This window comes from Homo sapiens, chromosome 8 (genome assembly GCF_000001405.40).
Source record: "Homo sapiens chromosome 8, GRCh38.p14 Primary Assembly".
NCBI lineage: Eukaryota > Metazoa > Chordata > Mammalia > Primates > Hominidae > Homo > Homo sapiens.
The window spans coordinates 107,248,951-107,274,327 of NC_000008.11; the positions used below are offsets into that span (position 1 = coordinate 107,248,951).

A 25,377-nucleotide genomic window follows, 5' to 3' on the forward strand; every position below is an offset into this window, starting at 1 on the left:
TTACGAGGTGAACAACAGCATAGAGAGGCAGGATGAAAGAGTGTCTTTTCCAATCATCTAGGTGGAAATTAAGGAAGGTTTGAATCAATGTAATGGCAATAGGAGCAGAATCAAGGCCAAAGGTAAGAATGCAAGGACTGATAAGACTGCTGATGGCATGTCAGGTGAGTGAGACAAGTAGCATCTTCTTTACGCTCCTTCCTTTTCCCCCTGTATACCAAGCTCAGATTTTTAACACACATCCTCTTATTCTACATTCAGAGTTCCCAGAATATATTGTCCGTTGCCACATGATAATATGGCATGTAATAATTGGCAAGACATGACAATCATATTGTAGGGACATGGGACTGAGATCCACTGCTTTGATCTACCATTCTAATGAGGCTAAGCTTTCTTATTTCATCCCAGACTGAAAGTTGTTCTAAGATTGAGGCTTTAGTTCATTTGGTAGGTTTTTGTCAATGATTCTATATCTTCATAAATCTCTAATTTAAATTTGGCAAAATACGTATTAAAAATAAAATGAAGTTGCACAAATATTACTTTCAATTTTATTTAAATCAAATAATGTTGTGATGATATGAAGAACTTTGCATAGAAACCACATGAATTTTAAAGACAAAATTCGAATACCTAATTATCCTATTCTGAAACAATTAAAAGAATACACATGTTAAATTGCCATAAACATGTACGTATTACATAATACACATAACAATCATAAAACATTTTATACTGATTTATTATAAATAATTGGAAACAATATTTCATTTCTCAAACCCAGACAACAAAACAGTAAATATCATGCTTTCTTTTTTTATTATTTTATTTTGTTTTTGTAATATGAGTTTGGAAATAGTATTCTTTATCCAAAAACTGGTTTAAGAAAGTGTCTGTAGGAACACAAAAGGACAAAATACTCATTTTCTTTCCCTTAAATGAAAACAGTTGAGAAGTTTTTAGAAGGAGAGGCTTACCTGCTATGAAGAAGCCACCAAGAATAGAAAAATGGTATAATACCTGCAAATATCACTTGTAAGGCAAAAAGGGGTAGAATACAGACACATAAATATAAAAAAGACTTGATGGTAAACTTTAAAAAGTATTTTTCTTAACAATGTGAATAGCTTTATTTTCTCAAATGGAGGAAACCATTAAGGCATAGTGGATCAAGTCACCAAGTTTGAAACTGGTATTGCTACCTTGCCAACAACTGTCTCTTTTATGAGAGGAGGCCCAGTAGCTTTATTTCAATTTTCTCATCCCATAGTGACTCATGTTTTAATAAAAACTGTTTACTGTCATAACCTTGGACACTTACAGGCAGAGAAGACTTCTTGATAAAATAATGCAGTAACTTCAAGCACCCCAAAAATTCACTTAAAATACATTATCCCATAGGAATATTTCCATTGAGTTATTTATGGCAACTAGCAGTCAGAATTTCTTAGTCAGGTGACTATGATTAATTTTCTTTTTGTATATATTTCCCTTACATATAATAGTTTTGCCAATTTTTCTCCCCTGATAATAATTTTTAAAAATTAAAAATTGCCTAAGGGAATGGACTGAAGGAGAAATATATGAAGAATGATGTATTTCATTAAGGGATATAGTAGATTTCTTTGAGCATTTGTGTTATTTGCATCAATTAAGGACAATGTTGCATATTCCAGATTAATTAGCTATTAGGTTTTTTGCAGATATAAACATGCTATGTACAATGATATTTATAATTATTTTATTTTTTATAGACTTCAAAGTGTTTCTTTTATAGACACTGGAACAGTGTGAATCTGGTAAGCATGTTTCAGTTAATTAGCAAAATTTAAATTAGCAAGACATAACAGGGTGAGTATTGGAGTTCTAAAAATATTTTTAAAATAATGAAGTTACATGTATGTATACACATGCAAGTAGATACTGTAAAATGAACTGCTCCAGAGTACTTGCTTTTACTTCAACTTAACATACTCCAAAATATTGCTTTCCTGTATAATATCAAAGGAAATATTAAATGCATGTATATTATTTTAAGAACTTGATGATATATTTTACATTCTTTTAACTTTACTCAGGCTATAAATATATTTATATATCATTCAATCAGTTTTTAGAGTAAATGAAAACCATAGTATGGGGGTGGTAAGTTTTCACCACATACATCCTTACTTGATTATGTTCATTTCTTTTTCTGAAAACTGTATCAAAAATCAGAGTAATGGAGTTTGTTTCTACCACACACTTATTGTCCATGTACTACAGTTCATTATGGCTTACAAAAATGGAATTTTCATTTGAAGATGGGTAAGCAGAAATCAACTAGTAAGTATGATACTGGAATTAGGCTTCTGAAATCCATTAACATTTAACCAACTCAGAGGACAATGCTGTTCTAAATTTTTATCAAAATTGTGCAACAGTATAATTTGTTAGTAGGTTTGCATAGATATAACACCTTTTCACTGGTATAATACATCTTTTCCAAAGGATTATGGCAGGCTTGTTTCTATTCTTCATGTATATTCTCTTTTTCACTCTTTTTTTCTGTTTTACATGAAATTAACCATATTTATCATCTGGCTACCATAGTTCCAAAATAAGGTCCAGTAGTAGTTTGAAGCACAGCAAGCTCAGCAGTTTCTTCCCTTTTTAAAGCCCGACAGTCAGTGGAGTTTTCTATAGTCGAGCCACGTGAGCACTGTCACCCCAAGTAGAGACTCTTGTGAACTCAAACGGCTCCAGATTCACGGTCAAGAACCTTGGTGACTTCACATAACTACCACTTATTGCTGGAAGGGAGACAATATTGTTTGCTTCTGAAGTTTTCAAACAGTTTCTCACCTGGCAGCTTCTCCGGATTTCTTTGTTGCTTTCATAATCGCTTCTGACATTGCGCTTTCAAAAATCTAAAGGTCGAATCATCATAGTTGTGGAACGTAAGGAGTAACTGGGCCCTTTGAAGTAGTGCCACTTTATCCCATTCAGTTTTCCATGGTTTTGTCCCGCAGTATAGAACATTCCATTTAGATTGGAGGGGCCACAAGCATCAAACCACCATCCTGAAAAAATAATTCATAATAGAAGAGAGAAGGAGAGGCAACAATTTTAAGTAAATGGAATATTTGGAAATTAATGGCATTAAATGATGGGAAACTTGCTTGTTCTTGTTATGCTTATTTGCAATTACGAGGCATCAGTAAATATATTCCCAGTAGTGAAACTGTTTTAAATGACTTCTGATTTAAGATTTGTATGACCCATCACAGACAGCAATGCTCTCATGGAAAGCAGCTTTCAGTGTGACTCCACTGGAACTCACTTCTTCTTGTAATGATGGGAAGCCTCTGGGCTTCAAGATACAATCTACATAAGAGATGGATTTACATTTAAGACAAATGCAATAAGGAAAATGCATATACCCATAAGAGGCATTCCATCTTAAGACTGTTATTGGGAATAGAACAATTAATTATTAGTGAAGAAATGCAGAAACTTAGACAAGCAACTGAGATCTAAATAGAAAGATATTCTCCATCTACTGCATATGTTTGTCAATAATTGGCCCTAAGCTGCTTCTAAAATTAATTGGATACTGTGCAATGACTATGATGCTCAAAAGGGCTTTTAATTAACGTACCCTCTCTGTAGTTTATAACAGTAGAAAAAGTGTTCAGCAATAGTAGCCATTCAGTTCCTGTACAGCCATATTTTGTCTATGGTTATTTAAGTGCTTTCCAAACTTAGTAAAAAGAAAAACAACTTGATGAGTAACATGGAAATTCTATGCTTGTATAGCTCTCTATAAGGATAACTGGATAAGTCAGTTTTATTTTTTAAATAAATTAAGTTCTTAGATTTTTAGATAAAGCATAGTGTTTTTTCCTGTCTGCTGAAGTAACACTACTGAATCTTTAGGGAGAGATTTATGCCAGAGACATTCTGGCATATTTTTTATTTGGATACAGTTGACCTCTCTTTGATTACAGACTTATACCTAAGGGACTAATAGCTAAAGAAAGAGAAAGCTGTACAGCTGATGTTTAACTGTAACATGAGCACAATCTTGCAGAAACTTTAGAAGAAGTCAAATGGAGAAAAGCTAGTTCTCATTTTTCAACTTTAGAAGATGAGTACAGCTGGCTTGTGTTTATAAAGTCACACTAGAGGCGTAACAAGCTGCATTAATCACCAGTTCATAGTGGGGAACCACAAGGTATGTCTTGATGAATTTGGAAAGACATTATATTCCGTGCAGTTTTATCAACTGTATGCAAACAACATAAATGTTAATGTAGTCAAAACATGAGGGACAAAAAGGTTCTTGTTTGGAAAAGAAGGAGGAACTGCAAGTAAAATCCTACCTTTGTTTTTCTTAAGATTAATTCTTCTAATTTTTGATCAGTACAGCTGTTAAATATGCTGTTTATATTATAAAAAGCATTCTAATATTAGTGAATTTATTTGCCCAAAAGACTCTTTCTAAAGGACTAAAATAAAACTCTAAGATGAAATTCAACTTGATTGATTCTGTTTTTAACTTTTCTCCTCCTTTTCTGTGACCTTCTTGAAGCACTTTTCCATTGCATTAATGAACTTTTTTATAGTCTTTCAAATATGCACCATGGTCTCTCAAGCAAACACACTTACTCTATTGTTGAGACTGACAATGATTCATAGAATTCTCTTCCAAGTTGCATTGGGGTAAAATGTGTGTTTTTGTTTATTTGGTTTATAGAAAGTCACAGGAGTCCCAGAGGAGTGCGGAAAGACAGACGTCTGTTGCAACAACAGCCTGGCAATAAAGAGCACAGGCTAAAGGATACGCTCATTGGGAAACTTTGGGAAAACTTAGGAAAGAGACAAGAAACAGTAAGAGCCTGTGAGAGAGTCAGGTAAATTGATCTTGTGTAGCTTTTTGAAGGAATAAAGTGGGGTAATGTTTGCAATGAGTAGAATGGCATTTTGGAGACATTGAAGGAAGGCCAGTATGGCTGGGTCACAATCAACGAGGGGGATAGTCACCTGAAGCTAAGTGGGTCTGAAGCAAATCACCCAGTGTTTTGTTCATCATCCTAAAAACAATGGAAAGCCATGGTTTGTATATTGGCCCATCTCCTGTACTTAGTAGGACACCTAACGAAGTTTGCTTCCCAAATGACCGGCGGGTCACTGCAGGCTTGTTAACTGATTGACTCTCTGATTGGTTCTCCTTGTGAAGTCTTTGTTGTCTGAAGTTGTTTAGCTTACTAAAATGCTGTATTTGATAGATACCCCAAAATGTAACACCTGTCCTTATTGTATTCATTTTTTTCTTTATGTATCCATTCAATATATAATTATTGTGAAACGTTGTTACACAATACTCAAGACAGACATAGTCCTTGCCTTCATGAAACTCACTTCTAATGGGAGAAACAGATGAATATATGTAAGCAGGCACATAAAATAACTATTAGGTTGGTGCAAAAGTAACTGCGGTTTTTGCCATGACTGTTATTGACAAAAAACGCAATTACTTTTGCACCAACCTAATATAAATTATGACTTAAAATGTCATGAAGAAAATACGTAGGAGCTCTGAAGGAGAATAACTTGACTTTTCACATTTGTGAAAGAAGCTGATATTTAACGAGACCAGAAGGAGGAGAGAGACAGCCCCAAGAAGATGGGAAAAGACCCTGCTAAGCAGAATACAGCACCTGCAAAGGCGATGAGGAAGAAAACAAGCTTGGGATGTGTAGGGACATCAGTGCAACTGGTGCACAGTAAACAAGAAATGACTTGCAGGAAATGAAGGTGGAGGAATAGGCAGTCCTGGTGAGAAGTTCAATGTTTATGGAACAATTTGTAGTTTAGCCAGCCTGCTTGTCCATGATCAGGCAAACAAGTAAAACATTCTCTACAGATGGGAACCACAATCGAACCAGAAGAACCAGATCTGCTAGGTTAAATGTTTAATCAAACATGGTTTAGAGTCCTCATTCTCTACGATCTTCCAAAGCCATCCTGAGCATATGTGACAGCTTAAAAAAAAAAAGGAGAAAATTGAGTCTAGAATCAATTCTGCAAATATTAACCAATGGATAGGGATAGGGGACAGAAATTTTTGGAAACAAAATTTCTGACTTTAAAGCATGCACAGTTTTGTGTAGGAGACAAACAAAATGCTACACATTGAGATGATAGCCGTTAAACTAAGAGAAGAAGAAAATTTGATGGAAACACAGAGGCAGTAGGTGCTAACTGTCTGAGGGACCACAAAGCTCACTCATTCAACAGCTGCTCTGGGTCCTGAAAGATGGGTATGAGTTCACTGGACAGAAAGAGCTTCTATATAGTCTGTACTCTGGAAGACCAGGGGAGAGTGTCTGCCAGCAGGTTGGCTTGGCTGGAGTGCCAGTGGGTTAAAGGGTTGGAGAATATAGGGCTAAAAAATAAACAGGAGGGAAAACATAAAGGTTTTTATTACACCTTTAGACATTTTCTTTTGGGCAATGGGAAGCCTGGAGAGCGCCGGAGCAGAAGTTAGAAGACCCAGACTTTTCATGCTTACTTCATCAATAAATAACCAAGAGATCCTACACAATAGTACCAATAGTATTTGATATTTATTGAATCGTTCATATGAAGGTATTTATATGCATTTTCTCATTTTATCCCCCAAACAGCCTTAAGTGATGTGGCAAGTACCATAATAAAGATACTAATGCTCACAGAGTTTAAGGAACTGCTTAAGGTCACATTCATAATACATAGATTCTAAGAGCTAACCAACCATTTTCACAGCACAGTTATAAGAATCAAATAAGATAATGCACTATTACAGCCTGTAAAATCCTACTAAAGTGCCAGCTGTAAGTTATCTAGAAAATGGGGCAGAATGTTTAGGCCAGAAAAAAAAGAGACAAGACCTTGTGGAGCATCACAGTAATTTAATAATAAAGACAAGGTCATCAGTGCCAACATATTTTCTTATTTGCTTAGTGGGGTTTATTAGAGAAATATGAAAATAATTAGACCCAAATAAGTACAACTGTACAATGTTCATGTTATAAAAACTTGGCATTTAAGTTCCTAATTTTTTTAAATGTTTCATTTTGATTTCATGACAAATCAAGGAGTTTGAAATGTTCAATTAACTCTTTATCTTAAGACTAGTGGGCCATGAATTCTGTGATCTATCTCAGAGCAACTGATAATAAAGATGATGAATTAAGATGGAAGAAAATGAAATAAAAGAGCAATTATTTCTCATGACAATTTCAGTTTTATTATAAAATATCCTAACTTCAAGGTAGAAGAAGTAATTACTTCTGTGTAGGCAAGGATTCTCTGTTTTCTTTGATATATACATTAAAACAAACTAAATAATTTGTTCGTATCAAATATTTCAAACAGTTTGTCCACTTTCTACCTTTATTTTTAAAAATTAAGCATGGCCAAGTCTTTTAAACACAAATCCTGAAAATATGTGGTTTAAAGCATTTTTTCAATGCAGGCAAAAGTATAGCAGACTCCTCATTACTCATATGCATTCCTTGTATTTACAGGTGATCATAGATACTCAGTACATATGGTAAATCTGCATGGGATGAAGATGTTCTATGAATATACAGAAGAGTATGCCTGAGTTTACAGTTCCTCTCTGATAAGATTCTGAATAGCTGAATTATATATTCTGTGCAATCCTGGGAAAACACTGACTTTGTATTTTGTTTATGCTTGGGAATAACAAATAAGAAATATCCTAGAGCAATTCATTTAGGGAAGGCACTTCAAGCCTGAAAGAACTCAATGATGCAAGCAAAGGATTGAAAAAAAAGTTACCCTCTGCTATTGGGACAACTGATAAAATGTCTCAAATGTTTTTTTGTTTTGTTTTGTTCTGTTTTTTTTTTTGTTTTGTTTTGTTTTTTTTGAGATGGAGTCTCACTCTGTCACCCAGGCTGGAGTGCAGTGGCACAATCTTGGCTCACCGCAACCTCCGCCTCTCGGGTTCAAGCCATTCTCCTGCCTCAGCCTCCTGAGTAGCTAGGACTACAGGCATCCGCTACCACGCCTGGCTAATTTTTGTATTTTTTTTAGTAGAGGTGGGGTTTTGCCATGTTGGCCAGGCTGGTCTCGAACTCCTGACCTCAGGTGATCGAATCACCTCGGCCTCCCAAAGTGCTGAGATTACAGGCGTGAGCCACCGCGCTCAGCCTCAAATGTCTTAAGGTTGGCAACTGCTGAGATGTACTTTCGAAGCATTTTTCTTCATAACCTGTAACCTCATGTATATTTTAATAAGAAATCTGAGATTCATGTTTCCAATTCATTTACACTTAACTCATTAAAATTTAGTTTAGTAATAACTATCCCAGGCCTTTTAAAATCATTTGTGTCTTTTATCTTTGAAGCAGAAAATTCACATTTTATCGCTAATAGATGAAACTTTGCCCAGAAAATAGGAATTTGATTCTCAACTTTGTACTCAGGAAGTTCAACTTTATTTGAACATCAGGAAATCTAACTCTTAAATTCTTCTGATTCTAAACAAAACACCTCTCAACACTTCTTTTCTGTGGTAAAATGTACAGCAAAATGAAAAGGTATATTTGTTTTTGTAGATTTCTTTTGTTCGTTTTCAATGCATGCATTCTAATCAGCAGTATGCAAAACAGCTTGCACAGAAATTAAGATTTTCATCTTTCATCACTAACTAAGAATGAGTTTAAACTAAATTGATTGGTGCCATCAATGGGATCATAATGGAAAAAATCTCTTGGTGAGTTTATGTGGACAAAGTTGGCCCTACGCAAAGCAAGCCTCAAGAAGCAGCTGCATGGGTCTTGCATGCAGGAGGCAAAGAACCTTGCTAGAAGTCCATTCCTTCTGTCATCTCTTAATATATCCTCTTCAGGCCAAGGACTTGTTTTTGTTTCTTTTTTGTTTGTTTGTTTGTTTGTTTGTTTTTGACTGTTCTTTCTTTCTCTCTCTCTCTCTCTCTCTTTCTTTCTTTCCTTTCTTTCCTTTCTTCTTTCTTTCTTTTCCTTTCTCTTCTTTTTGTTCTAAAGATGAAAAGTTGTTTATCCTGGCTAGGAATATCAAATTCACTTAAAACTTCTAGGTATTCTTTTACCTCCTCTCTTCTCCCTCATACTTCATTTTGCTTTTAACCATGTTTAAATGAGGAAATGCTTGCAAAAAGATGCTGCAAACGGTACAATAGAGCTCTGTCATTCTCTTTGAATGTCATCCCTTTTAATGGAGGCAGTAGAAAGAGTAGATAGAACAAAGGCCTCTGGAGGTTGAGTACCTGCATTTAAATTCTACTTCTGACAAAATTCTGTGACCTATGGCAAATTATCTAACTTTTCTGTATCTCAGTTCTTGCCAAAAGTATTATTGTAGTCTGTATTTCCAAGAGTTTTTGGAAGCTTCATATATGTTATTAAATATAAATCATTTAGAATAATATAAACGTATCCATTAGAAAGAGCTCAATAAGTTTTTAAATATTATTACTGAGTACAATACAAAATTAATTGGTTATTTCTCATCCACTGTCAATTATTAAGCTTTGGTTGTAGCCTTGCACGAGAGGACTATCGGTTCTGATTCACCTTTTTCCAAACTTATAAAAGACATTTTCTGATACTCTTTGCTCTTTTTCTAAGAAATGAAACTTTGCCCGAGAAAATAGGAATGTAATCTTAAACTTTGCATTTTAGGAAGCTCAAATTTATTTGACAGTCAGGAACCTAACACTCAAATTTTTATAATTCTGCAGTTCAGTCTTTTGGGGTTTGGTTATTCTTAAGTTAGTTTCAGTCTTTGATAGTCATCTCTTTGTTCCATGCTGGTGCATATAAATACATGTATGTATTAGGCATTTTAAATATAAGTTCATGCAAGAATCACGTTTATACTAACATTCATTTATGTATTTTCACCAGAATAATTTGTAATTTTGCAATGTCCTTTCAGAGTCTCTGCTAACATTTACTCACTAAACCAATATTTATTGAACATATGCTATCTGCCACACACTATGGCAGCCACTGGGGATACAGTAGTGGACAGCATAAAATCCCTGCATTCACAGAACTTACATTTGTGTAGAATAGGCTTACGTTTTATGTACTAAATATAGAAATTGGGTTGAAATAAAAGTAGTGCAATGTAGATTTCTATAGTCAATCTTACATTAGTCATATGGATCTTCTTTTCTCTCAATATTTTTACCTTGAAACAGAGAATTTTAGTTATCTGATCATGCTTAGCAGGTCTTTCTTGGGTTCCCAAAAATGCTAAGACAATTATATTTTCCCAAAGATCTTGTCACTTCAAGGTCATACACCAGTTGAAAAAACTGCTAGCTTCTATCATTTTCTTTGTCTTCTTTAAGATTATATAGTAGGCAAAGTGAGCGTTTGTCAACTGTCTGCTGTTAGCATCTGGAAAGTTCTAGATGTACTAAGAAATTTACGTGTATGGCTTTATCCCCTATTTAAGGACTGAACTGAAAAATATCCTTCGTTAGCTTTAGAAAGTCTTGTCTACCAGTTGACATGGTTTATGCATTGGGAAAAGAAATGAGAGTTTCTACTTCAATAGATTCTTTCTACAGAAAGTTAGGTCACATTTTTACATAGCCTTTATATTATGTACTAAATATGGAAATTATACTGAAACTAAAGTAAGGAATGTAAAACGGTAACATATTTGTTTTTGTTGTTGGCAACCTTTAATAATTACAGTTTATGAAAGATTTTTAGAAATAATTCTTTAATTATAACATTAATAATTTTAGTTAACTGTAGCTTAAGCAAACTTTCAGAAATGCAGACTTTGAAAACTCCTAATTTAGTATCAAAGATTTTTTTTTAGCTGAAGGTAAGTTTGTTTTGAATGTGACAATCTAGTAACAAAAATTTGTCACTGTCTTAATTTTGGAATCAGAATTTTTCACATATTTATCTCCATATACAATAAATCTATACAAAAAGTATGCATTGAATGAGATTTCATTTTCATTTTCTTAATGTTAAATAGTAGATAAAACTATTTCTTTTAAATTTTTAATGAAACTTATGCTCTAGCCTGTCTTGCTCATTTGTTTAATAGTAATTAACCCCCTTAAACTGATAGAAGAAAGCCAAGAAATAAGGAAGTTAGGAAATGAAGAACAAAGATCAAGTCCTACCTTGGGTCTAGCTGAAATACCTTCTGCTTTCAGTTAAGCCTATTTCCTGCCATTCAGTCTTTTACCGATAAGGGTAATGATACCAGATTCTCCAGCTAGAATTCCTCTATGTACTTGAAGAAAACTAGGATAGTTAGTGGGCAATAAATCTTATTTTACTCTTAATCCCTTTTAGAAGAAACAAAGGAAAAATATATAAATAAACAAGATAAAACAAAGCTTTAATTGATGATGACAAAGAGCTATGAGTTACTAGCTCCAAAGAGTATGAAGTCTCACTGCTTAAGAGAGGGTATTTTAAATAGGCAACAGGCTCAAATACTAAGTTTAAAAAGAAAAAAAAGGAAAGGAAAAATCATTAGATGAGGAAAATGGCTCTAAGGGAAATTTTGACAGAGAATAAGTAGTAGTGGTGGGGAGTAACTAAGTAGGACCTAAGTTCCAGGCAATACTCCAGTTACCTGGACTGTCAATGACATTCATCCTTATGTTCTCCAGTTCTTAGCTATCTAAATTCCACATTTTAGCTTTCCATAATAAATAGCTTTGCAAGACCTGGATTCTTTCAAAGGGACATTTGATAAGGTAATGGCGTTTATTACAAAAACACATTTACTTAGACTATTCCAGCCCAAGCAATAAGTGGAAATATTCTCTCCCAAACATATGTGTTTATTGGTGAGTAAGAATTGGGTCCAAGAATAATTATGGATGAAAGAACATGACGAAGTTCAATCATTTAAAGCAGAAATAAAATCATAAATCTGAGCAGTGAAGTTTTCTCATTGAAAACCAAGATGTACATTCTTCTCTTTGCTTCACTCCATATTTTCATTATTATGACAGAAATATGAACATATTGGAATACTCTTCTAAGGACACATTTGAAAGATTTTACTGTTGGTTTTTTCATGTATTGTATTTATTTGGTAAGAAAAAATATCTTTGAAAATAGACATGGAGAAAATAAAGCATATTTCAATATTAAAATGTGCAGGAAACTGAAAAATCAAAGTCCCTTTGTCTTTGTATAAAGTTGCTGACAATTTCATTTATGAGATCAGGGAAGTAATAAAAATAAAAATTTTCTATCAGGAAAAAGCTCAAGACCTACCTTGTGTGTACCATTTAAAAAAAAATATTAGATTTGTAGCAACTAGTTTTGGGGGTGAGGGCTGAGGGAGGAGTCATAAAATTACATATAGGAGACTTTTTAATATTTGATGATGTTAAATATGATGCCAAAAGGATAGTTCAAAGATTAAGGAAAAGAACATGAAGCCGGGCACGGTGGCTCACACCTGTAATCCCAGCACTTTGGGAGGCCGAGGCGGTCGGATCATGAGGTCAGGAGATTCAGACCATCCTGGCTAACACAGTGAAACCCTGTCTCTAGTAAAAATACAAAAAATTAGCCGGGCGTGGTGGCAGGTGCCTGCAGTCCCAGCAACTTGGGAGGCTGAGGCAGGAGAATGGCAAGAACCCTGGAAGTGGAGCTTGCAGTGAGCCAAGATCGTGTCACTGCACTCCAGCCTGGGTGACAGAGCAAGACTCCATCTAAAAAAAAAAAAAGAAAGAAAGAAAGAATATGATAGAATATGATAGAGGCAGAATCATAATAGGTTAGTTTTGATAATATTGGGGCTGGTATCATATTGAAAAGATATCAACATAGGTGGCATGGATGGGGTCAATGGGCTGTGATTTGGTGATAATAGTAATAGAGGGGTTGGGGATAGGGAGGAAGACAAAAGATTTATCCCAAACCAGCTGGGTGTGGTGGCTCATGCCTGTAATCCCAGCACTTTGGGAGGCTGAGGTGGGTGGATGACCTGAGGTCAGGGCTTCGAGACCAGCCTGGTTGACATGGTGAAACCCTGTCTCTACTAAAAATACAAAAATTAGCCAGGCATGGTGGCACGCACCTGTAGTCCCAGCTACTCAGGAGGCTGAGGCAAGATAATCACTTGAACCAGGGAGGCGGAGGTTACAGTGAGCCTAGATTGCGCCATTGCACTCCAGCCTGGGCAACAGAGTGAGACTTGGTCTCAAAAAAATGATAATCATCATCATCCAAAACTTTCACCTATACTCTACCAAGCTCTATTCGTGGATGAAGATAACATCAACCTAATGATTTATTTATTTGGTTTTAAAATTTGAAAGTTATTTCAAGAGTTAAAAGATGGTAATTCATGTACTATGCTCATTCATGTACACTACTACTTCACTAATTCAGGTACTACATTTTCTAATAAGTTTCTATGTGTCACAGTCAGCTGTGCTAGATGTTTGGGATGAAATGGCAAATGCTAGCTGTCATTCATTTTCCTCATGTACAACATAGAGATGAGTTTCTCTCCCTGCTATCTCACAGAGTGGATCTGGAGTTCAAGTAAGATAGTACAACATGTGCAGAAACACGTAATATGTTTTAATAATGGTAGTAACGTAGTGTTGGGAAAGGAAAATATTAGATTTGAACAATTTTTTCCTTGCTAATATGAAATCATGTTTTGTAACAGAATAAGACAGAAAGTATATCAGAACAATTGAAGGTGGTAGTGATTATTACAGTAAGAGAGAAGCAGCACTAAAACTGTGAGAGGAGAAACACTGAAATAGGAATTTCTCTTACAATTTTGTTTGTTGTCAACTCCTTTCCTGCCAGAGCCTATAACATTCTTGAGTGATATCATTTGCCATTGGGTTTTATCTTAGTGTTTCCCAAACTTCAGACAGTCATGTATCAACTTCACAGTTTTGCCATATCCATTTATAACTCTTATTAATATGTAACAATTTTTTCTTTAAATCTACTATTTGTTAAATACAGAATATTGTGAATGCATTCTAAAATGCAAGTTTATATCATTCATTTAAAGAGGAAATCAGCATCATTTGCTGTAACAGAAGTTAGATATAGCCAGGTGCCATGGTGGCTCATGCCTCTAATCCCAGCACTTTGGGAGAGCAAGGTGGGCGGATCACTTGAGGTCCGGAGTTCAAGACCAGCCTGGCCAACATGGTGAAACCCCGTCTTTACTAAAAATAGAAAAATTAGCCGGGCGTGGTGGTGGGCACCTGTAATCCCAACTACTCGGGAGGCTGAGGCAGGAGAATCGCTTGAACCCAGGAGGTGGAGGCTGCAGTGAGCCGAGACAGCACCACTGCACTCCAGCCTAGGCAAGAAGAGCAAAACTCAGTTTCAAAAAAAAAAAAAAAAAAAAAAAAGGAAGTAGATAAAAAACTCATAAAATTAAAACAAACTAACATTATTTAATTTTAGGTATGTGCCATTGCTTAACCAAGGCTCTGAGACTATGGATAAGGGTTTTTTGTTGTTGTTATTGTTGTTGTTTTTTGTTGTTTGTTTGTTTTGCCAAGAAGCATCATTGGTAAGTGATGCATTACATCACTGAAGAAGTATTACAGAAATGAGAGCACCAAATTGAGAATTTCTCTGTGGGGCTATCAGAAGGCTGGAAAAATATTTAAAATGTACAAAAGGATTAACTTTCTTACTCTATGATATGATACTATTTAATGGTATCTCCTATACTAGCTAAAATATCTTGCAATGATTAATATTATGTAATGCAAAACTCTGGTATAGCTGGTCTGAACTGTGTTACCTTTGGTTTAACTACACCTCTTTATTTTTCTTATCTCATTTCAACAAAATGATCAATTAACTTACTACATAATTGCGAAGTATTTTATAAGAAGTAATTGCTGTATATGCTGAGTTCCCAAACTATTGTTCATTTTACTAAGGATATCAAGATACTAATTTAGAAAGTAGAATATCTGGGACTTAAGAGACTGAAAAATGTATTCAGAACCAAGCTTAGCACATTTTCACTCTTGATGTTGGGGGAGGACGCAAACCTCTAAATATGCTAGCAATGTCTTACACAAGAACGCAGGGTAAATTCGTGGGCAGAACAAAATGATCTCTAGGGACTTGCTCTTAAGTTTCCTGACCATAAGATCATACTCCTTTCTCATAGATAAGAAACCTTAAGCCCCAAACCAATGAAACATAGCTTAGAGAATGGCCCCATAGGACTTACCTCCTGTTAACATGAGGGCACATTTGCACATACAGTTGTCATTATCAGCATCTTTAGTGCTGAAATCAGCACCGTGTAAGATCAGGCTGCTCTGTTTTCCTGCTGTCCCAGTGTGACCTTTTAAATACAACCTGAAGTCAAAAAGAAAAAAAAGAAAGATAAGCCATTCGACAGAATAACAGAACCCAGAAGACCAGCTTGTTGAATGTTTGCCTTTTTCATCATTTTCTTCTTTCTTTGAACTCAGCCCTTCCAACAAACCTCTAGGAGACCCAAGCTATCTGAACCAAAAGAACAAAGGAAGGAAAAAGTTTATTTCATTATGCATGCTCAAACTCATGTGGTTCTCTGATACTGCAGGATCCAGAAAACATAAAAACTTGGGTTTATTGTATTAATACAGGTATTAACCTCTAAACATAAACGCTTTTTACAATGTCAATTCAGCATGTCACTCCCTTAATCCATTAATATCTAATAGTGCAGATGTACTAAACATTATTAATAGCAATAAAAGGAGGAAGTTTCATTGATTGGGGATTTCCTCTGTGCCAGGCACTATGTTAAATGATTTCCAGTGTTTATTTGATTAAATTTTTATATTAAATCTGTGATCCAGACATTAATATCCCCAATTTGTATACTAAGGTTTAGGGAAGCTATGTAAGCTGGAATTTAGCTGGTATGAGTCTAAAACTCAAGCTTTGAATCATTATGCATTCCCTGGACAAATATTTGCTGAGCACAAACTACATACCAGTTATTGATCTAGGCACTTAAGATATATAAGAAAAGAAAACAAAAATCTGTGCTTTTGAGGGACTTGTATTCTAGAGGTATCCCTAAAATTAAATTCAAAATCCCATCTGTTTAATATGGCATTCTTCGAAGAACCTCTCTTACTATCTAGAAACATTTCTTATATAAAACTTGCATTAACCTAGATCAGTGGCCCTCTAATGGATGTGCATATAACAAATCATCTGATCTTTTGTTTAAAAGGCCTATTTACTAACCCCAGGAATGTTTGTTTTCAACTAGCATCTCAGATTTCTCTTTGCAGACTGTCCAAAGAGAACATTTTGACAAGTATTGTCCTAGAATCCGAGAACTAGTGGGCAAATCACAATAGTTGTCAAATGTAGTGACCTGTCTGATGTCTGCTCATTTCCTACTGATCGTACAAGCTGCTTTCATATCCTTCTGGGCAACGTAGTGCTTAGAACTAATGTAAACTTGCTCACGTCCTTCAGTGGCTCCATAGGGCTTAGAGTAGCTAAACTGAAGTTGTCGTATCGACAGCTTGAAGCTCAAGGTGTTCTCTGGCTAAGACTCTAGCCCCTCTCTCTCTAACTCTACCTAACACTGCTTCTCCATACCAGCACAATGTTTTCATCAGAATCATGTAGTAATATCCCCTTCAAATTCATATAGGTCACCACCTGTATGCCTGGGTCTTATTTATGAATCCTGTCCACCCACAGTATAGTTAATGGGTGATTCACATCTCTGTATGAGTGAGACACTCCTAAAACCTAGGCTGGCTCTGAGCAAAACATTACATTATTATGAAATAGAATAATAAAGATCAATTAATATTTGGAGATATATTTTAACTTGTGTTTTCATCTAGGTATATGTATATATCCTACTGTTTGTGGTATTTGATATTATTTTTAGCAAAAAACAATATTATTGGATGTTTGTGCAATATTTTACAAATATTCTGCAGAGATTTTGAGCCAGAGCAAAGTATACAAGTAAACCTCAGTCAGTTTTTGTTGGTTTCAATAATTAATGGAACTTCTGGTTCACAGTAGTACAAATAATCTTCTAATGTTGAATTATCACATACAAGCTTGTATTTTAAAACTCTGAGAGGCAGACTACAAGTAACTGGTGATGCAAAATTGTAGAATTTTTTAAAGTGCCAATTCACATTTGAGGCTGCAGCCAGCCCACGTGGAGGTGGGTTTCACCAGGAGAAAGTAAGATGACAGATCACCAAAGGGAGTTCTGGGACATGTTACCTGGGTGAATTCGCCACCTTCCAGAGCTGGTGAGAACTTTCAATTCAATCACTTCTTTGGAGGTCCTCAGCCTCCCAAAGATAGACACACATTGGCAAAACTAACAAGAGACTTTTGTCAGGCCTCCATTTGCAGTCCAAGTAGGAATATGGTGGGGACCCAGTCTCATGGTCTTCTTAGAGAGAATTTCACACAGAAAGCCAAATTATAATCAGAAAGTTACTTGTTTGGTGAAGACAGAATCAGAATTGAGAGAATAAGTGAATGATTCCAAAATTAAGTAGCTACGTCTCTCCTAGCGTGAAATCTGCTCTACTGGGCCTGGGAGAGTTTAGCCCATAGGCGCTCTTGAATGAGCAATGGCAATTTTAACTCTGATTTTTTGTTTCTCTGTGATTTGTAATGGCCTTCCTTTTTACGGTAAGTCAATGCCATTTTCTCCGCAGTAGCTTTAAGCTCACTAATAAAGACAGACTTTCCAGGATGTAATGATTTTCTATAGTGTCTTTGCAGGGAATTCAGCACAAATGTTTGATTTTAAATAAGAGACTGCTATGTGCTTGAATACATAGTTTATACTTTTACCCTTTCACATAAGATTTACAATCTAAGTCTCATAATTTATAATTATTTATTTGTGTAATCAAGGCAATACAAATGCATGATTATAAATTTGAGAAGAAAAGCAAAAAGAAGAAATAAAAATCAACCCAAATCTCATCACTGAGTATAACTACTCTTTTCATATTAACAATTTTTAGTATTTTACTTGTTTCTCCCCTCTAAATATAAAATATTATTTATTTTTAAATATATACGTATCTGAACACATTCTTATAAAATTTTTGAACACTATAAGTAAAGCTTCTGCCCACAGCCCCATTTCATCTCCCTCTTTAGAGGTATCCTTCAAAAACAACCTCTCTCCATGTGAAAATACAAATAGAAATAGAATTATACTTTACATGTTTCTGTATGAGATTATTTTCAAATACAAATTTGTGACCACTTTTTCATATCATTACATTTTTTTCTCTAAAATCATTTGGAAAATATTGTATGAATATATCATCAATAGTCACAAGACTAAGGCTGCCTTCAGGTATCTCTCTATATGTGTGCTGGTATAGGTATAGGTATATAGGTATAGGTATTAGGATTACAATATAATCCACATTTCTTTCCTGACCTTTCCCCGTATGAATGTTATCAATGCTATGTTAGGCTATCAGTAAAGAGACATCTTTCCAGATCTATTTAAGACTTGGAGGTCAGTTTCTAGTCTTGGCAGTTCTTCTCTGGATTATCAAAGAAGACTTACAACTAGTCTCCCTGCCTTGAGTTTCACTTCTTCTTCCCCTTCCCCATGAAGTCCATGCAGCTCATTCAAAAACATGCATCTCATCATTCCTCTATTCTGGTTAAAGTTGCTCGGTTGTTCCTCCAAAATTCAAAGATAAAGTCCAAATTTTTTACTGTGATTTGCAAGGCCTTTGAAGTCTAGTCCTTTACTGTCTACTTTTTCCCATGTCTCACCCACCCTAACCCTCCCATATCTTGTTATTTTCTGCACGTACACATAGTGCTCCAGCCTTACCCACTCACTTATTCCCTCTAAGCAACACTCTTATTTCTCCATACATTTGCAAGTACCATCCCCTCTTCCTAGAAGGTACTCTCCAGGTTTGAACAGCTGCTGAACTCCTATCCATCCTTTAAGATTTGTTCCAAGTATAACCTCAAAGAGCATCAAATCAGCATCTTCATGATGACACTTACTTGCTGTATTTTAATTGTCTTTTCACTTTTCTGTTTCCCATAATAAACTGTGAGCTCCTTGAGGCATAGACTATGTCTTACTCATCTTTGAATCATCAGAATCTTGAAATCTTGAACAGTCTCTGAGATAGAGAAAGGCCTCAATGTTCATTGACTAGATGGATGATGGGTTTACTAACTGATTAATTTTTGGTAAGCTCAAGGTAGCAAGCAAAAGCAAACTCAAATATAAATAACTCTAATATCAAAATATACTTGGTCTACATTTCAGAAGTATAGCTTTTACATCTCATTTAGTTAGGTACTCAACATACCTACCTGGGTACCCACTTCATTGCCCATCCAACTCAAATAATTAAAAAATACACATGTAGGGTTGTGTGTGTGTGTGTGTGTGTGTGTGTGTGTGTGTACATAGATACAGTCTCTCACATCCTTCTTATCTTTCCAGTTTTGTTTTTGTTCTTATTTTCTCAGAGACTCCAGAATATAAAAACATGAGCAAGGCATTATGCAGATAGAATAAAGGAAAAAAAGGCCATGTCTTAATTCCTATTATTCCTTACATTTTATTGAACAATTTATTTGTATTGTATGAATAGCCAACTGAAAACAATTTGAAAGCAAATTCAAAATAAAAATATGCTTAAGGTTAGTGTTTCAGCTAAAATTATTTTTTAAAAAAGAAATATTCTAATAAGGTGTGAACATAATTCCTTAAGGTCCTGCCCAGATTAAGCATTAAAACATAAAGCAGAAGTAGAGAGAAGTCTCAAGATGTGCAATGTAAACAGTGACATATATTGGTTGAAATGATGTACAAGTAGAAGGGACTGATATATTGAGGAATAATGAATGTTTCACTGTTGGATACTTAGTAGCACTTGTAATTTACATGAAGTAGTATTCATCCCCCCATGTTTATATCCTTAGCATGTCACAGAGGAGCGGCTTATGCTCTTCTAAGGAAGAGACACACAGTCTCTTGCACTGGGAGATAAAGATGAAATGTCATAAAAATCATTTCTTCTAAACAATATTTTAAAAACTTTGCACATGAGGACAACTGTACTTCTGTGGAATCCCAGAAGGACTCTGGGAGAAACTATGCAGTCCAGAGAAGGTCTCCTGCACAGTTCAGGGGCTCATTCTTTCTTAGCAGCTCTTTACCTAGCTCAGAGTCCCAATTTTTGGCCCAAAGCCAACGACCACAGCTAGTTATTTGATACAGGTAAATTAAGGACCAGTCACTCATTAGTGCCAAGTATTTCTGTAATTAGATTTAAAAAAAAAAAACTTCTTTGAGTTGAGGCTCAAACAGAACATTTGGATGATTCTTTTTAACACTGGTTCTGGCTAATATCTAGTCCTTATGTGTAATTAACTATCATCTGTGGCTTTCTCTATGAAGCTAATAATTGTTCCAAATAGACTTTCAGTTTATCAAAGAAAAATCAATATACAGGATGGCTTTGCACCTGACTACCGTGACAGTGAATTGGAAGTGTGAAACATTAGTTAGAATACATCTCCCAAAATAACAGCATGGGAATCCTGGTTATTTATTTCTTGTGTTCAGCCAGTGTAGACATGGCCTGTATGAAAGACGATATGTTAGAAGATAAAAACAAAATGTTCCTCCAGAAAAAAACATTAGGGACAGACATAAGGAAGCTGTGAAAAACAAAACAAAACAAAAAACTCCAGAGAATCTAATTTGATGTGACCAAAAAGCAGCCACGACATAGAATTATGGCATTTATTCTCATCCATGTATTTTCTCCTAATAAAGAAAAAAAAATGAGTCCCTTCGACGGATGACTATAAAGAATGTCAGCATTTTTATTTTTTCAATTAGCATATCATGGGAAAACTGATGTCCATTGAAATTAGTCATTATTCTCTAGTCATCTTTGATAAAAGTTACTCCTTTTCAATCACTTTTAGAAATTTCAGTAATTATAAAGACTAAATCATCACATTTCTTAATGAATATAGGACAACAGTGAGTTCTATTATGGAAGAACAGGCTTCAAAATATTCCTATATATCATCCAAGAGATTCTAGAACTTTCTTTTCTTTAAAATGGGCAGCCCAATCTCATGAACCCAGTTTCTTACTAATTTTCTCTACTTAAGAGACTCACTCTCTTCACATTTTTGCATCTTCACCATACTCAGGTGGCCAAGTGTCTCTTTCATGATCCAAGGCAGTGGGAGTTGTTTGTATGACAAATTGAAGTTTGGCCTCAACCCTTTTAAACAGTAGACAGACTCGCAGATATCTGAACTTTAAGGTCGTAGGTACTGACAAGCTGAGCAGATTTTTATTTTGGCTCTGAGTTCTCTCCCTGCCACCATATGGAACTAGTTTATCTTTCTCACAATTACTAAGAAATTCAAAATGACCTTCATGGTTCTCTTTCAGAGGCTGGTAGCAATGGCTCAATCTGACAAGAGTTTCCTGATGTGGCTATGATTTCTAGTTGCTGCTTCTGGGCTGTCTCTGCCATATTCAACCTCTCCAATCCTACCCCCTTTCCACTGAAAGAACTGGGCACCATTAGCCAAGAGGGATGTCAGAGCATGTATGTTAGCACTGACTTTTTCACATCCTGGAGATATATTCTATAACTCTATTGTCCATACATGAACAGAATTCTTTACTTATTTGCAATAGCCTATCAATGAATATGTGAGAAAATGCTAGAAAAATATATGAAGCAAAGTTAATACACTTACGAAAAAGTGAGTGAATATATTAAAGACATTCAGTTATATGACAATAATCTATAATCCAGAAAAGAAATGTTTGAAAGAAGTTTCCAAAGAAAAGAGGATGTGAGTAGGAAGACTAAAAGAATTGATAATGTAAAGTGTGACTAATCAAGAATTAAGGCTGTGATAAAGACTTATAGATATCTAAAAACATTTTAAAAATATACAGATCAAGCAGATACAGGTAATTTGGTACAAAATAAGTACGAATGAAAGAAATAACCCTCTATAAAGCCATTAACCAAAACTCTTCCTTTTTTCCTCCTCCTCCACACACACGAAATGGAGAAATAAATAAGCCATTGGCTTCTGCAAATTAAGGCTGTGTCATGACCACTTGTGTCTGGAAAGACAGCATGACATCACAGAGTTTGTAGTGTACCTGTTTGGGTTTGCAATCTAGCTCTTATTCTTTCTGATCCTCAGTTGCCTCATCTGTAAAATACCTCTATGTCCTGCCAATATTTTGTGAAGATTAAATGAGGTGATACCCGGAAAGCCCTTAAAAAGACTGCTGCATGCAAAATAAAGTAAGTACTTGACTATTTGCAAAAAAATTAAAGTAATCAAACTTCCTTAAGCAATAACCATAAAATATACAGTAGTTCAATAGGCATGAATTACGGGAATGACTAAGGCTAAATTACACAGGTATAAACATATGACCTTGATAGACATATGTAAGTGTTCTGAGAGTGATAAAAACAATGACATAGAGATACAGCTCATGAGGACAGGCATGGAGGCAACAAGCCAGAGAAATTAAAGATGAAAAGGATCAATTTTCTCAAACCCATGAGGCCCCATATCCTTTGGAAGTTTTTCTTATTTTCTATAGAGGAAGCAGAGTACTAAACATGAAGGACAAGAAACCAAAGAGTTGCTTTGCTGACTGACTATGTAGTTAAGATCTATGTTAATTTGACTCTAGATGGTCTGAATAAATATCCTTCAATTAAAATGTTTATCTTTTAATAAATTAAAATTTCAGACTTTTGAGAACCCTACAATTTTCTTGCCATCATATAATATTTTGTTGAATGAATCCAATATATATTTGTTTGGTTTTCCTTTCTTTACTCATAATTGATACTGGTAAAAAAAAAAAAAAAAAAAATTCCTGGAAAAATCATCCATGCCAACCTAGCCTTTAATTCTCATGACTACTTGCTGAAAGCTTTCTTTTTCTCATTAAACCTTCCACAATTGGTGTCATTTGTTTTAACAGGGAACTGGATAATTGGGAATCACCAGAATTTGTGCATAATAATTTTACCATTATGTTAAGAAGGAAGACATTATCTTATTTGTTTCAGAAGCTACAGATGTCCTGAGGTAGATATGCTATTCATTTTGGAATATGTGTAATGGAAGATGTACACAAAAGTGTGAAAAAATATGAAAAATGTTTGAGATAGTAATGGTCCTGGGAATCTGTGCTATGATTAAGGAAGATAAATTTCCAAAGCTACAGAAAACCTCACCCCAAATGATGAAAAATCTTTAGAAAATTGAGTTTCACTTAATCTCTGATTCTCATATGATTGTTTTAGATATTAGCTTGTATAACACCTGTATAAATTGTACTCTGGATTTCCATGTAAGTTTTTGATAATATACATTTTTAATGTCTCCCCTTCACTTACAAACATTAATATCTTGTAGAATTTAGATAAAATGAGCTTATCAACCTTCCAGGTCTTCCCAAGCTCTTGACATTAGGAACAGTGTTAGCAGTAATTTTTGTTTCAAAACTCTGGTAAAATACAGTTCTTAGTGTTTTGCAGTGATAGACATGAAGCTTGCATATGCTCAAAACTCATGATAAATTTTTCCTCCAAAGAAAATAGCAAACCCACGTACTGTTATTGTTGTGTGCCTTTCAATAGTGCTGACAGAGTGCTCTCTATTCTGTACATCATATACATATATAATATATATTATATATGTATGTATATATATGAGATCTGTGACAATGAAATATTTCCCAAATTTCAGAAATACATGCTCAGTGATTATGTTTTTAGTTCAAAATAAGATAAATAGTTATTCCAGTATTCCTTCCCTTTTTTAAGAATACATAAAAAAAAAAAAAACTGAGTGCCAAAATGAATCACGTGACACCAAGACCCCTGTTTAAAACACAAACAGTCCCTTAAACATATTTGGATTTCCTTGGCATCATGTGTGACTGATAGAGTCAGCTTCCAGTGAGTGACTCTCTGGTCTGACCCTCTTGTGGTGCCTAAAAGACCAGGCCAATGGCCATCTCAGAGAGTTTATGGGTTTTGCTTTGTTACCAAAAATTAAGTCAGGACCTTGTAAAACTTGTGATTGAAATTGGTGATTTTTCAGTCTAAACAAATTCTCGGGAGGTAGATTTGTTCTCATTTTTTATTTGTGTTTAAAGAGCAATAAGAAACTTTCTTTCCAGCATTCCCTTGGGGTAGATAGAGAGAGGAGAGGGTAAGCAAAATGTTGAAAACCATTGAGATGCATTGTCTGAGGTTTCTTGCAAAGAGAAAATACTTTCCCTTGTTGTACTTGGACATTGTATTGCTATAAGGTCTGCAAATAAGCCTCCAGCATGCATTAGCAGATTCTTCTGATGACCAAAGTCATCAGTGTGCTTATTTGTCTCCACAATCAGTATAAGCTAGAGTCGAAAATCTTTGTCATGGATTCTAGCCCTCTGTTATATGTAGCACAGTAAAGCCCTGCATACAAGATGTCCTCTAAATACTTGCTGTCCTCTAAATAAGGCAGACTGTCTCTCATCTCTGCATGTGTGTCCACATTGCTCCTCTGGCTGGGATCTCAAGTCCTTCCTCCTGCCATTAACTACCATACTTGCCTCATGAGCGCTTACTCATTTCACACATCTCTAAGGATTTCCTCTATGAAGCCTTTCCCAGTCCCATTTAATCTCCTCCAATGAACCCTATCCATTCCCAACTCCAGTAGAATTGACCACTATTTTTTTTTAAGTAACCAATGATAGCCTAATTCCAAGGGTTCTTTCCCAGGGACTGTGAGTGTAAAGGTGAATTACACATAAATTTATACAAAATTTTGTGTTTCTTCATCATTCTAGGGAAAAAGTCCTTGGCTTCATCATTAAAAAAAAAAAAAAAGATCTATGGTTCCTTGATCAAAAAACAAAACAAAAGAAAAATCAAACAGACATGCTAAATCACTTCAGCTAAAACTTTTGAGTCAACTATTCCATGTTTTGTTTCCTTCTCCTAAACTATTAGCCCCACAAGAGAAGGTATGGTGTGTCTGTTTGGTGTAACCAAAGTGTTATTTCTGCATCAGCATCACTTTGGTGCACTTGATAGGACTGAGAGCTCTAGGTCTTAACCCAGGATAAGAATCTCTTTAGGTGCGACTCAGAAATCTGTACTTTAAACAGGCACCCTAGTTACCTATATGCACATTCAAGAAATAAAACAACTGGCATAGTGCCAGGAAAATAATAGTAACACGGTAAGTGTATGGTGGTTGGCTGGCTGGATAA

The 25,377-nt window shown here is 35.1% G+C and overlaps 1 protein-coding gene and 1 long non-coding RNA gene across 5 annotated transcripts in view, besides 1 other annotated feature; one reads left to right on the top strand and one right to left on the bottom strand.

Annotated features, from left to right (window-relative positions):
- The window catches only part of ANGPT1 (angiopoietin 1), a 248,437-nt gene continuing 223,591 nt past the window's right edge, over positions 532 to 25,377 (bottom strand). For 3 of the 4 annotated variants that reach the window (NM_001199859.3, NM_001146.5, NM_001314051.2), the window contains 2 exons: positions 15,271 to 15,401; positions 532 to 3,065 (listed from right to left, as the gene is read on the bottom strand). In NM_001199859.3, coding sequence (NP_001186788.1) covers positions 2,905 to 3,065; positions 15,271 to 15,401 — 292 coding nt within the window. In that variant the 3' untranslated portion in view covers positions 532 to 2,904. Of the gene's footprint in view, positions 3,066 to 15,270; positions 15,402 to 25,377 lie in introns of those variants that run through there. The other variant, XM_047421699.1, reaches the window with a different exon arrangement.
- Positions 4,090 to 7,702, top strand: LOC124902067 (uncharacterized). Its single transcript, XR_007061181.1, has 3 exons — positions 4,090 to 4,219; positions 4,742 to 4,898; positions 7,557 to 7,702. It is a non-coding gene; the product is annotated as an uncharacterized LOC124902067 (long non-coding RNA).
- Positions 24,517 to 24,717: a silencer, noted in NCBI's record as "peak7142 fragment used in MPRA reporter construct". NCBI's record gives its function as "represses an SCP1 promoter by STARR-seq MPRAs in K562 erythroleukemia cells {active_cell/tissue: K562}" and the evidence as "EXISTENCE:reporter gene assay evidence [ECO:0000049][PMID:32103011]".